Here is a 15,919-nt window from a genome sequence, read left to right as displayed (position 1 = left end):
TGGTAGTGGGGGATGGATAGAGAAGGGCATTAAGTAACATTCACGGAACATTAAACTGTGTGCCAGATACTGTGGCTTGTACCTTTATCTCGAGGGTGAGGCAAGCAGCCCATGACCATTAGATGGTGTGGAATACTCTGGCGTCAGATTGTTTGCATTTACTGTTAGGTACGTTAGGTTTCCCTCTAAGTCTCATGATCCTTATCGGTTAAAAAGACACAATAGTAGTGTTTATTTCTAGGGTTAGGTGGCTTACAAAAGCACTTAGTTTATATATGATACATATCAAGCGCTCAATGAATGTTAGCTGCTATTATTATTGTGATGATGGTTGTTATATGGAGATCCAGGGGATAGTCTACCCTTCCTCAGAGGTTACTAATCTAGGCCTCCTTGATATTTCTTCTCTTGTGAACTTAGAACTTCTATAATACACTTTTGTTTTAAATAATCTATTATCATGTACTTTCTTTGGAAATTCCTTAAGATCAGGGATCTTTTAATATGTAATGTGTCTCCTATCCACAAAGTGTCTGGCCTACTGTTGAACACATAGGTGTGGAGTTGGTTGATTTCGCAGATTATTGCACAGGGAGATACTACATTTTCCTAGGAGGTGTATGTTGCCTTCTGCTGTTTTCCTTAACCCCGCCTGACAAATAAAAGCAATTGATATAGAAGGATTCCTCCTCTTTTGACCTTGGCAGTAAATCCTAGTATTACACCAGTCATCTTAGGTGAGGTTAACCAATCCTATGATTACAGAGCAAGAGATGACATGAGAAATCTTCTTGCCTTACATCTTTGGAAAACAAAAGTAAGGTTCAGAGAGAGTATGTTATTTGTTCAAGGTCATGCAATCTGTTGGTAGAAGAGTCAAGATTAGAATCTGAGTCTCTTGTCTTATAGCGCAATCCATGCAGGTTTATAGCAAATGGACTCTTTATTACTCGATAAATTCAAAACTGTGGATATTATTCTGAGTAGTTGAGACTGTAATTTTTTTAAATCTTTTATTAGATTAGAATGTGTTTATGGTTCTGAATTCAGTGAGTAAGGGAACAGTCCATTACCAGAACATCCATTACCAGACAGTCCATTAAAGTCCCAGAAGGACTTTACTTTTAAAAGGACTTAAAAGTACTTTTATGGCCGGGCGCGGTGCTCACGCCTGTAATCCCAGCACTTTGGGAGGCCAAGGTGGGTGGATCACGAGGTCAGGAGATCAAGACCATCCTGGCTTACACAGTGAAACCCCGTCTCTACTAACAATACAAAAAAATTAGCCGGGCGTGGTGGCGGGCGCCTGTAGTCCCAGCTACTCGGGAGGCTGAGGCAGGAGAATGGCGTGAACCCAGGAGGCGGAGATTGTAGTGAGCCGAGATTGCGCCACTGCACTCCACCCTGGGCGACAGAGCGAGACTCCATCTAAAAAAAAAAACAAAAAACAAAACTTTTATTTTGTATGTAAGCTCCATGATGATGGATATTTAGTCTGTTTTGTTCACTCTTGAATCCCTAGTGTCTGGAATAGTGCCAGGCACACAGGAGATGCTCAATAAGTAATTGTTGAATGAATAAGTTGGCTTTGTTGGCAGTATTGGTTGAGACTTCATTTGGGAATGTTTGTGACTTCCAGAGAGTCTAAACTTTAAGCATCAAACTCTGGAAAGAAACCCTGGAAACAACAGGGAAACTTTGGCTATGGCAAAAAAATAAAAATGAAATGCTTCCCCCTGTGGGGGAAGCATATGAGAGAGTATATATGAAACTTCTGGAACTTTTTGGAAGAAACATGCCTTATAAGTAAATGTGTAAGGTCAGTTGGTGCAAGAGGATAAAACATCCTCTAAGCTCCTGGCACATCTCAAAGGAATAGCTGGAAAAGATGAGCAGAATAGTTTTGGTGGTGTGTGGAATTCAGGCTTTTGCCACCTTGAAATTGTTTTATATCCTTAAGCTAATGAAAACAAAAAAGAGAAAATTCAATCTTTATAAAGAGAAGGGTCTTTGTACCTGGTTTCTTAATGTTCATGATGCTCCTCCTTCTAAGCATGAATAGTCAAGCTTCATGGGCAAGGCACCAGGCAGCCCCTGCTACCATTTAATCCATGGGGTGGGGAGGCCAAGAAGGAGTTTCCTGTTTCCTGTCCCTGATCTTCCAACCAATGAAAAAAGACAGTGATGACTAATGGAACAAAGAAATGCCCTGAATCTTACTTTGGGCATATTGCTGAGTTATATAATCTGTATCTGAAATGGATAAAAATATAGAAAGATCAAGTAATATGGTGAAAGAGAGCACTAATTCAAGATTAAGGCAATCTGGATTCTGTTTTATGGCTGTCGTTTATTAGTTATGATTTGGGCAAGACTTTTGGGGTCTCAGTTATATCAGAAGTGAGATGGTCCCTAAGGTTTCTTCTAGGTTTAATATTTGCTATTTTTAAACATTTAAAAAAAATCTCGAAGCCCGATCATGCTTTAAAATCTCCAATTTTCAGAATTACCAGAGTAGATGAATTTCCATCCGAGGATAAGAGAAAGAAAGATGAACGTTAGTGCTTAAAGCAAAAGCAGTCAGCACTTAGGGCACTGGCTTTGACTGCCACTTCAGAATGCAGAGGTTTGAAAGATAATGAGCTGAGTCTTAGAAATTACTGAAACAATTTAAAATATTATTTATTTATTAAAAATCTTTGATAACTAATTTGAGTAAATGATAAAGCAAAGCCAAACACAAAAAGGAATAATTTCTAAAAGAAAGCTCACCCTTAAATATTGGCTTCTCTTGCTAAAGCCACTGTAGTCTCTTACATTTGATTCTCATGTATTTTCCTCTAGGGGAGAGAAAAGGAGATTTTTCAAAAGGAAAAATACCCCTTTGTCTGACTGTTCTGAAAATAGCGCACTCCAGAATATAAAAATGAAAGTGTGGGTTCATAGTACATGCAGGCCCTACGTGTGACCTATCCTGAAGTGTTCTTTCTTGATTTTATGTGGCACTGGGGATGTCCTTGAGGGAAAAAATAGCCAGGGGTTTTACTTTGGTGATGCGTTACGCTAGCCGGCTTCATGTCTCACGTAAATGGTAACCTTTGCTGAGTGTAACCCTAGCTCTTTGTAAAGAGAACAGAATTAGACTCCACCAAATGAAGAGTCCAAGACCTTGGCAATCTTACCCTGGAAAGATGACAAGATACATAGAGATCAGACAAATGAACAATGATGATGCCTTTATAACATTGCCTGAATAGCTAGGATGTCTGCAGAGTTATACTAGCTTCATGGATATTATATAGGTTCAGTGGTCTGAAAAATAGGACATTAGATCTATTTAAAAGTGAACAACTGAAGAATTTGACAGTAGCTTCATTCGGAAAAAAAGAGGAAAGAGAAGTAAGATAAAGCAGGTTTAGCAATGTACAGTATTTTAAATGTATTAAAATGTCACATTAGTGAGAATATTTTAAATTCATACAATAACCTAAACTCTGCATTCTTTTAAAATGTTGCTTAAGTTATTTTGATTTGTTGGAGAGTTTATTGTGTTGTTCCATTTATTTTCTTTTGCTTGCCTATTTTATTATTTAGTGTTTTTGTTTTGTTTTGATTTTAGAGACAGGGTCTTACTCTGTCACCCAGTCTGGAGTGCAGTGGCACGACCATATGTTACTGCAACCTTGAACTCCTGGGCTTAAGTGATCCTCCCACCTCAGCCTCCCCAGTAGCTAGGACTACAGGCATGTGCCACTATGCCTCGCTAATTTTTTTTTTTTTTTTTGTAGAAATGGAGTCTTGCTAGGTAGGTAGCACAGGCTGGAGATTTAGTGTTTGCATATTTATTTATCTTCTATTTGGTAACAGATGCCATACTAGGTAACCTTTATTCACATAAAGATAATTCAAAGTGTCCATAAAGCACCAGATATTGTGAAAGATTTTAACAATTTAATTACTTTATTCATTTTTAATTTTTTTATTTTTTAAGAGACAGGATCTTGCCATGTTGCCCAGGCTGGAGTGCAGTAGCTGTTCATATGGGTGATCCTAGCACACTACAGCCTCAAACTCCTGGCTTCAAGCAATCTTCACCTCAGCCTCTGGAGCAGCTGAGACTTCAGGTGTGTGCCACTGCACCTGGCCATTTTTTATTTTCTATTACACCTAACAGGGGTGGAGGGAGAACAAATAGTTGAGGAAAGAGGTATGTGAATTAAGTCAGTAAAGGAGTTGTGAGTTTTGTGTGTATGAGATGGTTTTCATCAGTTTCTGAACAAATCCAGCTTCTGCTGTGGCCCACTGTGTCAGTTCACAGTCACCACTGTGACTGTAATATTAGTCCCTGCAAAAATAAATGCATCTGTTTTGTGAACATACTCAAGCTGCTCAAGAAGATGATGATATTTGACATCAACTGAGTATTTTGGTGACAGTTTTGAAAAGTTCTTAAGGAAGCTTGATACATGGGAGATTCTAAAGATGCATCTCACTATTTCTTCCCCAGTTGATCTAGACCATTTTCTAACAAAAGTAGATTTTAATTATTTCATATCTCTCAATTTATTAGCATACAGCCTTCACATTGGTCTCTGTACCTTTTGTTTTCTTGCTTGCTTGCTTTCGGGAAAAAGAAATCACTTTTAAAAAATTTTCAACACATTAAACTGATGTCAAGGGTGAGCTATTTTCTACGTGACTGGAAATTTTACTTCATCACATTTAGAGTTTTGTCTTGTCCCCAGTGTTTTGTCAAATTTTTTGATTTTACAAAGTGCCAAAGAGGAGGTCTGTCTTGTGATTGTTAATCATATGTCTCTCCATGTTAGATTAAAATACTTACTGTCCTGGTTCTCATGGTTCCTATATCTAAATTGTATTTTTATATAAAACCATTTACTCTATGAAGTTGTTACAAAAGATGCATTTCTATTTGAATATCTATGTAGCTCAACCCTTACTGTACTTGTTTTCTTGTTGTCAAAGTCCACATTGTTCATGGCCTTTCTCAGACAGCTTCTCCATCAAAGGATATGATGCCTGTCATGAGTTATGAATGTTACTACTTCTTTCCCTTGATACTGAAATCCTAGTGGAATTAGAAACAACTGGGGCATATCTTTAAAATCTTGCTCACTGGAGGGCTCTTCTGGGGCATATGGTCTTTCTCCTGTGGCTTAATGTTTTAGTTTAGGAATTTGAGAAGAGCTGGCTGAGCAGTTCATCTCTGATCCAAGTGTTGACAGCTGGGACTAGATTATGCATTTCCCAGATGGTTTCTTCACTCACATGTATGGCACCTTTGTGCCATCTTTGTCAGTTCACCCCAGTCCCCAACTTGGTGTCTCATCTTTCAGTGATCTCCATGTGGCTTGAGCTCACAGGATAGTGACCTCCTGGTAGTAGATCTCTCACATGAGGGCTTAGGGCACCAAAATAAAATGTTCCAAGAACCATCTCTTAAAAGACTGTCTTTCCCCAGTTGTTCTTTTGACAATAGAGGAACTAGCTTTAAAAGACCCAATTTGTAGAATTCTTCTTTATAAAAAATTCAGGCCTTAGGGTTCAAATACTAAGATAAAAAGTTGAATGATGTGGCAAGCTACTTTTCACTTTGTTTTGTTAGGGAACTTTCAAATTTAGCTAAAGATTGTGTTTATGATCTTTTTTTCTTATTTGAGGGTGAAATGTTGAAATTGACCTGGCCCTAGGGCAAAGGAGAGGAACAGTGATGGTGGGGGGCCCATATTCCAAGTGAATAGTCTACACTGCTTCCTGGGTCTCACTCTCTAACACTTGTAGTGATCATGCTGATGAGAGATGACAGGAGAAAAGTTGCCTACAGTTAAGAGCCTTCCTGTCCCAGAAGCAACAAACAACTTCAAATCCAGCTTTTGGCAGAACTGCTGACTGATATAGTTTATATTTTGCAAGCTCTCCTCACCTCTTCTGTCTGCCCCTCCCCAGAACCCTTTCCTACACACACATTATAGTGTTTTCTTCCTTTAGAACTAGCCCTCCAAACCTATCACTTCCTCAAGCCCACATCAAAACTGACTTGTTTTATTCTTATCTCTGATAGACTGGTTTAAAGACACACATTTCTTCATAAACACATTTCACCCCTTCATTTGTCTTTAGGAAGAGCCATTGCTTGAACCCCAATGGCACCCTCTCCAGTGGTGGCATTCTGAAGCAGAGACATCATCTTAGAGGTAGGGGAGATTAGATGTCTTTTACGTCCTGCTGAATGCAGAAAATACTTTGATATTTAACCCTCAAACTTCTATTTCCTTTGACATGTCACCTAAAATAGGAAAAGGATGTTTGTCTTTTTTTTGTTTTTGTTTTTTTTGAAATGGGGTCTCACTTTGTCACCCAAGCTGGAGTGCAGTATTACGATAATATAGCTCACTGAAACCTTGAACTCCTGAGCTCAAGTGATCCTCCCTCCTCAGCCTCCTGAGTAGTTGGACTATAGGCTCATGCCACCATGTTCAGCTAATTTTTAAACTTTTTTTTTGTGGACATGGACTTTTGCTATGTTGCTTGGGCTGGTCTTGAACTCCTGGGTTCAAGCAATCCTCCCATCCCTCCCTCCCAGAGTGTTGGGATTACATGTGTGAGCCCACTGTTCTCAGCCTGTTTGTCCTTTTTGATGCCACTGGATTTAGTACATAAGTTTTTATGTTATAAAGTCACGCCCAATTTTTAAAAGGGGCTATTCCATTTCTGTTAGCCATGCATACATACACAGAGTTATTGCCCAGAGGAACACTGCGTGCATAAGGACAGCTAAGACCCCATACTGTCGTTAGCTGGGAGTCAGGTTACCTCCCACATGGACAGTGTCATGTGCTAGAGATGTGTGCAAGTAGAAGAGTCCTAGAGAGGAGAATCTGTAGCATTAAGCGGGCTTTGCAAATTAAAAAAAAAAAAAAAGATCATTCACAACAACCCTCTGACCTTAATTTTTAATAACTGTGAAATGGAGTTAATCACCTAGGCACTGTACTAACCACTTTATATACATAATCTCATTCACTCCTCACAACAACTCCAATATCTAGGGATATTATCATTCCCATTTTACAAGAAAGGAAACATGAGCTTAGAGGGTTTACACAAATTGCCCAGAGTCACATGGCTAGTAAGCTGTGGAGCCAGGAATAAAATCCACACAGTTCATCCCTAGAGCAGAGAGATCTTCCTTTAAGTACTTCCCTGACCTGTGTGAGTAAATCTCATAATGTGTACTTCTTGGGAAATAAGAGGAAAGGGGACCTAGGCTGTAATGAAAAGCCTGAAGTTCTACTTTCTTTATTTTTCTGTCCAGATGAACCTTTATTTTTACACATGTTCTTAAAGTCCAAACTTCTTCTTTTTTTTAAAATTATACTTTAAGTTCTGGAATACATGTACAGAATGTGCAGGTTTGTTACATAGGTATACACATGCCATGGTTGTTTGCTGTATCCATCAACCCGTCACCTACATTAGGTATTTCTCCTAACGCTATCCCTCCCCTAGCCCCCGACCCCACAACAGGCCCCGGTATGTGATGTTCCCCTCCCTATGTCCATGTGTTCTCATTGTTCAACTCTCAATTATGAGTGAGAACATGCAGTGTTTGGTTTTCTGTTCCGGTGTTAGTTTGCTGAGAATGATGGTTTCCAGCTTCATCCATGTCCCTACAAAGGACATGAACTCATTCTTTTTATAGCTGCATAGTGTTCCATGGTGTATATGTGCCACATTTTCTTTATCCAGTCTATCATTGATGGGCATTTGGGTTGGTTCCAAGTCTTTGCTATTGTGAATAATGCTGCAATAAACATACATGTGCATGTGTCTTTATAGCAGAATGATTTATAATCCTTGGGGTATATACCCAGTAATGGCATTGCTGGGTCAAGTGGTATTTCTGGTTCTAGATCCTTGAGGAATCGCCACACTGTCTTCCACAATGGTTGAACTAATTTACACTCCCACCAACAGTGTAAAAGCATTCCTATTTCTTCACATCCTCTGCAACATCTGTTGTTTCCTGACTTTTTAATGATCGCCATTCTAACTGGCATGAGATGGTATCTCATTGTGGTTCTACTTTGTAACTAGGCTTTGGGTTTAGCAGGACTCTCTTAAGGATGTAAACAGATTTCCACCAATAACCTTCTCATATGCAGAACACTGGGTCAGAAACTTAACTCTGAGAATGGTCTATGTTTATTGCTTAGATACATAAGAAGATATATGTGGCATTGCAGTTAGTTGAACTAGACAGTGTGTAAAAATCTGTTTCCAAAATATGAGCGAGATGCGTGATAAATGTGTTGATTCAATTTTTTGGATGTGAAATAGCTTTGGGTCAAAGCCCCAAGACTCACTTTGGAGGCCTTGCCAGAGACAGAACTGAAACTATGTTCAGGAAATAAAGATATTTACAATACCCAAAGGGCAAATTCTCACTAGGTCCAGCCGCCTCACTACAGAAAATGATATGATGACACCCCACTGCAGTTCTCTCAGCATCACGCAATATATCCACGTAACAAACCTGAACATGTACCCCTGAATCTTTAAAAAAAAAAAGAGAGAGAGAAAGAAAAATAAATGAATTCTACAAGGGGAGGGGAAGAGGATGATCGGGACAGGTTAGCACTATATCTTTTTTCCCTTACCCTCTTCCACTAGTACAGTTTAATTTAGCTCCTCGCCACCTTGGCAGTACTGATCTGTGCGAGAGACTGAGAAGCTGAGGCACAGAGGGGGAGAGAAGGGGGACAGTGACAAGCTCATGGAGGCAAGGGGCAGTTTGAAGTGCGAGGAAGCGGGGCTGGGGGGCTGAGTGGTCATGATAATAAATACATGCGAAGAGCAGTAGCATTTTGGGGAGATTATAGAGAAGCTGGGACTTAGAGAGCACTGAGAGAAGCAGTCAGGCTTTATAGCTTCAGTCTTAATCTCAGGGCTGTCACTGGTCCCTACAGTCACTTCTGGGACAGTGCAGAAGCAATGTTCCCTAGGGTCACATAATTATTGAATATTAGAGCCCCATATAACCTCACAGTCCATCAAGTACATATAGACCCTCAATTTCAGTTTAAAGGGAATTTAAAGGGATTTTGTCCAGTTGATTGAAAACAGCTTTGATTTTCATGGCAGGCTTTAATATCGCTTTCTTTTGCAAGTTGCTTTCCTGTTAAAAATTCTATCTATAGAAGACCCTGTGTATGTGTGTTTGCCTATGTGCGTTTATGTGGATGTGATGTCTATGGTGCACCTCATTTGTCAGACAATAGAGTGAAAGATTATGATTTTAGTTACCTTTTTAGCTGAAATCAGGAACAAAATTAGTCAAGCTATAGATATTTATGAAGTATCCACTCAGTGTATTCCTTTGTTTCTGATGGCTAGACAGATATTTTATTTATTTATTGAGACAGGTTCTCGCTCTGTTGCCCAGACTTGAGTGCAGTGGCACTCACTGCAGCCTCAACCTCCCAGACTCAAGCCATCCTCCCCACCTCAGCCTCCTGAGTAGCTGGGACTACAGGCGTGCGCCACAACGCCTGGCTAATTTTTTTTTTGTAGAAACAGGGTTTTGCCCTGTTGCTGAGGCTGGTCTCCATCTCCTAGGCTCAAGCGATCTGCCTGCTTCAGCCTACCAAACTGCTGGGATTACGGGTGTGTAGACAACATATTTTAGGCACATAATTTGGATAACCTTTTGCTTTGTTTATTTTATTTTATTTTTTTATTTTTTATTTTTTGAGACGGAGTCTTACTCTGTTGCCCAGGCTGGAGTGCAGTGGCGCGATCTCAGCTCACTGCAAGCTCCGCCTGCTGGATTCAAGGAATTCTCCTGCCTCAGCCTCCTGAGTAGCTGTATTACAGGCATGTGCCACCACACCTGGCTAATTTTTTCGTATTTTTAGTAGAGATTGTATTTTAGTAGAGATTGTTTCACCATATTGGCCAGGATGGTCTCAAACTCCTGACCTTGTGATCTGCCTGCCTTAGCCTCCCAAAGTGCTGGGGTTACAGGCGTGAGCCCCTTCGCCTGGCTGATCTTTTGCTTTCTAAGTGCTCACATATTCAGCAGGGAAAGAAATAATAATAACAGCTTCTCAAGTACCATGGAAAACCACTTGATAGTTTTACAGTGATTCTCAAAATTTAACATGTATATGCATCATTCCAAAATCTTGTTAGAATGCAGATTCTGATTTAGTATGTCTGGGATTTCTTACCAACTCCTAGGTAAAATAGATGCTGCTGGTCCATGATGCTGCTGGTCCACAGACTACACTTTGGCAAATAGCTGAATAAAGTCTTAGCATTGGTTAAAATGTAAGGCATGCATAGGGAATAGCAAGTCAGTTTGACAGGGAAGATCAGATCTCAAAGAGCCTTGAATGCCAAGGTAAGGATTTAGGTGATATTCTATGTAAAAGAATCATTGTAGTTTTCTATACTGGGTAGAGAGTGACATGATAGGACCTGTACTTAAGGGAGATTTATCTGTCATCATGTATAGGACAGATGCGCTAGAAGTTTTATATTAGGTATTTAGTAGGAGAGACTCAACTCCTGGCCCTTAATGCCAAATGAGAAAAAGTTGCAGGAAGGAGAGAGGAGGGCACTGGCAATAGAGAAGCTACCTGCTTTACAGACTGTCCCTGGGTGAGAATAAGGAGTTGTTTGGATCACAAATCTCTTTAGTCCGCCCAAATTCCAAGAGATCCCTGCAAATCCCTTGCTTATTTAAGGATGCAGTCATAAAATACGGTAAATTTCTAGATCCAATTTATCAAAATGTATTGAGTGCCAAATACAGTCCTCTGCTGTTTCAAGCATCTGTGTATTTCCTAGAGTGTTTAATGCAGGATCCTTGTAATGTTAATGGTGAATGAAGGAATTCATTCTGCTTAATTATCCTATTTCAGCTTAAGATGCAATAATATATCCTTGATGAGACTATTTAAAAAGCAAGGACATGATAAACACAAAATATAGGATAGTGGTTACAATTGGGGGAAAGTAAGGGGAAGAGATAAGGGAGAAGTAAACAGATGATGTGAATTATTGTTATTGTTGTAGTTCTTGGGTTTGAGTAATTGATTCACTGGATTTGTTATATTATTAAAATAAATAAGGAAATGAACCAGTAAATAAAATAAAGTAGAAGAGTACCATGCATGTTAATAATACAAAATATGATTAATTATGCACCTGAAGTCTATTTTTTTAAATCTACATGAACACACACTCAAAAGTAATATCAGGGAGTGTCCGTCCTGTCTACAGGGTCTGCCAAAAGTGAGAGAATGAAATTAAAGTTGCTACATGAGCCTATACCTATGGAGAGCTTTTCTGTTTAGTATAATTTCACAATGCAGATAGTTCAAGTAGTTATCCCACCCAGTCTGATGCTTGGTGAGATCAGGTAAGGCAGTAGCCCCAACAAAATATACTAACATTCTACTATCTAAATTTCTGTTCCATTTAGTAATTTACAGAGGGCTTTCACATATCAAAACATGCTTGCCTGCCATTTACTCAGTGTGACATTCTTGCCTTCTTGAACCTGGGGCCAGAGGTCTTGGAAAAATATCTTGTGGGAATTTGGTATGAATGTCTTGGAGTATTTGGTGTGCTCAGAGTATTGTACTTATAATTGCCTGACATGAAATGTTTTCTAATCATTGACATGATACCAGGGTGTGAAGAAATATATCCTGGGAGGTCAAATCCACTTTCAAAATAAAAGTTCCTTCTTTGTTATCTGTCCTAGTAAGTGAATGGAGTTCTGGCTTATTCTACAGAACATACAGGAATTACCAATGTCAGAAACTTAGGATATAGCAAAATACAGTCAGTGCTAAAACTACTGAGTATAATTTAATTCTTTTGATGCATAAGGCATTTTTAGGGACTTGGGTGATCCACACAAATGAATTTTCCTGAAAATTGAAATAAACCTATTACTGCAAAAATATTTTTAAAAATAAAAGTAGTAAATGCTTAAGGACAAAAATTCTAAAAATTCAGAGTACCGAAGGTACAAAGTGAAAGGTACAACTGACCTTTCCAAATCCCCAATTTCTACTATTAACAGTTTCTTGTATATCTATACAGAAAATTTATCTGCATATTCAGCTCTGTGTATAATTTTATTTTTTTCACAAATGGGATCATACTATAGTGGAATTACAGGGGATAAAATAATATTCATTTTATATTTTAATAGTTACAGCTAAATTGCCCTTTTATTAAATGGTACATTCTCAGTAGTTATTTGAGAATAACTTCCTCAATGCTTCTTATAATATATCCCATTGTTTTGTAAACTTGCTTTATTTTTCGTCATAAGTGAGGCTGTGCATCTTTTATGTGTTTATTGGTTGCTTCTGCTTTTCCTTCTTGTAAAATGCCTGTTGAGAACTGAATTATTTTCCCCTCTGGTAAAATGCCTCCAAATTGAACACAGAACATTAACGATGTATTTTTACAGCTACATTTTTACAATTAGACTCCATTAAAGGTGATTGTTCAACAACTAATAGTTTAAAATCTTGAGATTCTTTTTCATTTTTTAAAATATAATACATTGTCACACCAATGTCTAATACCAAGATGATGACATTTGGTGTTAACAGTTGTACTTTACCCAGTCTTTAGTCTAATTTGAACCTCATCCAAGTTTGGAAAATTCCTGAAGTGGAAAGTACCAACAATAAAAAGGGGTTTTGTGATAGTTGACTTCCCAGTCACTCCCAGCTCCGTCCAGACAGTACATACTTTCCTCCCACTTTGCTGATAAATAACCTTGGAAATAAATTTATACCCATGGGTATAATTCTATGAGTTTAGTGATCCTGCCTCTTTTTGTTATCTATACAGTTTCTATCATACTATGGCTGCTTAGGAAGTGTCTAAGAAAAACAACAATAATGCTGGTATTTGATTTGTCAGTTGTGGCTTGGGGCATCAGTGGGACATAGAGCAGAATTCTTGCTGAGGAATATGATCCTCACTTGATTCTAATTTTATCTTTGTGGTGAAGCTTTTAAATATGAGGACAGCTGATGTTGAATAAGTCTGTCCTCACAAGCTGTATGAGATTGAAATAAAATTAAATATTTGGGGTTAAATCCAAATGTAAAGATGTGGAAATGGCTGATTAGTCTTTTGATATTTCACTTTCTGCATCTTGGTAAAAAGGAACTGTTTGTTGTGAACTCCTAGCAACAGTCCAGTTTGAAGCTTATGATAAGCTAAATGTGTGCCTTAACTTAAGGTCTAACATTTTATAAAAGATGAAGTAGAGTTCCTACTTTTCACCCCAACCTCCACCCTGCTGATAAAATGATAGGCTATGCATACCTGATTTTGTTAGCGGCCTCTCTTTCTTTGTTTTTCTCCCTGAATAAAAGGTTTCTACTAATGAAATAGTGAGGCCCACACTTACACTTGGATTGGGGTAATGATCCTGTGTGGTCTTTGTAAGTTTGCAAATGATGAGACCCCAAACTCCTAGTAGATTCTTACCTAGGTGACTAAATGTATTGCTAATTGCTAAGGAATAAATAAATGGGTGTGCTCCAAGAATAGATTGCTGGCTCTTCTTCAGCTGACTGGATTACTAAGGTAGAAAAGCACTAAAAATAAATCAGGGCACAAATTCTTCTGCCAGGAACTGAGCATTGAGATAACTTGTCTGCCTGGTGGTGTTGACATCATCTGTTCTCCTAATGCACTGCATAAATAGGAGCCAGAATGAGAAATAGATTTGGCCATAAACTAGTGTCAGTAAAAGTCCTTAGCCCTTGTCCTGATATACCTATTGCTGCTTCTTGCCAGGTTTAAGTTAGTTAGTCCATCCAACTCCTCTAGGAGATAGCTAAGTACATCAAGGTGAGAACTCAAAACCAAACTCAGAGTCAATCTCAGGGGAAATAATTTGATTTCTTCTAGCTTCAAATATATTTTTGCTAGTTCTCTTCTGTCAGTTGGGTTTCAGTGTTTCCCCCAAGGGGTCAGATTTTAACAGAGTTGGAAAGGTGGGAAGGCATCTCAGGAAATCAGTTCTCTAGGACCTGAAGATTGCACCGTGATCCAGGTTCCCTGATGTGGAGTTAAGGATTCTTATCACTGAATTCCTCTTCTGTTATTACTTCAAATGTCCTGAGCAGAAAGCCTTAGCCAGTTATAATTAACCTATGGATCTCATGTGAACTAAAATGGGAGGAAATCCATGCAAATCCCTACCTTCTTTATATCTGAACCTACTTTCTTTTAGTTTTAGAGCAAGTTGCATTTAACTGGAATAATACTGTCTCACACTGATTAAGTCCTTGATGCTCACAAAATGCTTTCACACATTTATCTTGTGATCACAACAAGCCTGTAAGGAAGGCAGATGTTCTTATCCTCTTATTAACTGCTAGACTCAGAGAAGCCAACAGATTGAGACTCTGGCAGCAGTTGTTGCTAAGATCCCTGGGAGCTCTGTGATTTCATAGTCCATATAGTCAGCAGTGAACAGTCGGATCCATTTCTCTGGGGAAAGTTTGGGAAGTTTGTTCTGTTTGTTTAAATAAAGTTTATTTAAATATTTGTACAAAATATGCATTCTCATTATAGAAAATTTGGAAAATATGGAAGAAAAAAAATCAACCACAGACCGAGCACACAAAAACAAATTCCTTGGGTTTCCTGTTTTTTGACTGAATCTGTGAGATAGAAGGCGAGATCAGTAGGTATTCAATAATGTTTATTCTGCCTCCACCCCTTTCCTTGTGTTCAGCATAATGCACACAACAGACTTTTAAATTCAGTCTCCTCTTCTAGGGATCCTTCATAGGTAGGTATTGACTCTCAGTCTTCGGAGCTGAGCTCTAAAAGGTGAGTCAGAATCTTCCCATAATCCCTGGTAGAGATCAGCTGTTAACTGTTCTCCTTTTGTTACCCTTCTCTTTTTTTCCGCACAACACTCTTCCTTTCCTTCTGGCTATATCAGTAGGTTTTCTCTTTGTCTTTCTCTACTGTTTGTCATTTCCAGGCTTAAAGTCAGCAGCAGATTCTACCTGGCCTCCCCAGGGCAGAGTCAAGGCCCCCAGTAGCAATGAAGAGAATGAAAGGACAAATATGGAAACTTCTCCTTTTTCTAGTCTCCCACTCACCGAGATTGGCACTGGCTTCTCAGAAGTACACTGACCAAAAAGAGGAGTGTTGGGCAGTCCAGGAACTTTTCTTTTCTTTTTTTTTTGAGACGGAGTTTTGCTCTTGTCGCCTAGGCTGGAGTGCAATGGCATGATCTTGGCTCACTGCAACCTCCGCCTCCTGGGTTCAAGTGATTCTCCTGCCTCAGCCTCCTGAGTAGCTGAGATTACAGGTGCACGCCGGCATGCCCAGCTAATTTTGTATTTTTTAGTAGAGATGGGGTTTCGCTATGTTGGCCATGCTGGTCTCGAACTCCTGACCTCAGGTGATCCACCCACCTCAGCCTCCCAAAGTGCTGGGATTACAGGCGTGAGCCATCGTGCCTGGCCCAGTGCAGGACCTTTAACAGCTGCAGATGTTTGGAGCCAGGAAATATTGAGCTCCAGTCTATCTTTGAGTCCTCTCCTGCATTTTGCTTAGTTCTTAAATAATAGACATTAGTTAAGTCTTTATTGATGAATGTGTGTGTGAGTGAATGAATGTGTTTGGTCCTGAGACTGGAAGTAAGAAGCCACTATACTGGTTTCCTATAAGTTAAAATCATCAGGATTGTATTCTCTTTCCTGCTCCCAAGGAATTAAGAACGTTTGATTTTCCTCATCTGTAGGATCAATATGATATGAGAAAACCCAGTTAACCAGCAGCCTTCGTTTCAAAGATACTCACAACCTCCACGTTGTCTGTTTGGTTT

Source organism: Homo sapiens, chromosome 5 (genome assembly GCF_000001405.40).
Source record: "Homo sapiens chromosome 5, GRCh38.p14 Primary Assembly".
Classification (NCBI taxonomy): domain Eukaryota; kingdom Metazoa; phylum Chordata; class Mammalia; order Primates; family Hominidae; genus Homo; species Homo sapiens.
The sequence above is the reverse complement of the archived record's forward strand: the minus strand, read 5'-3'. Positions refer to the sequence as shown.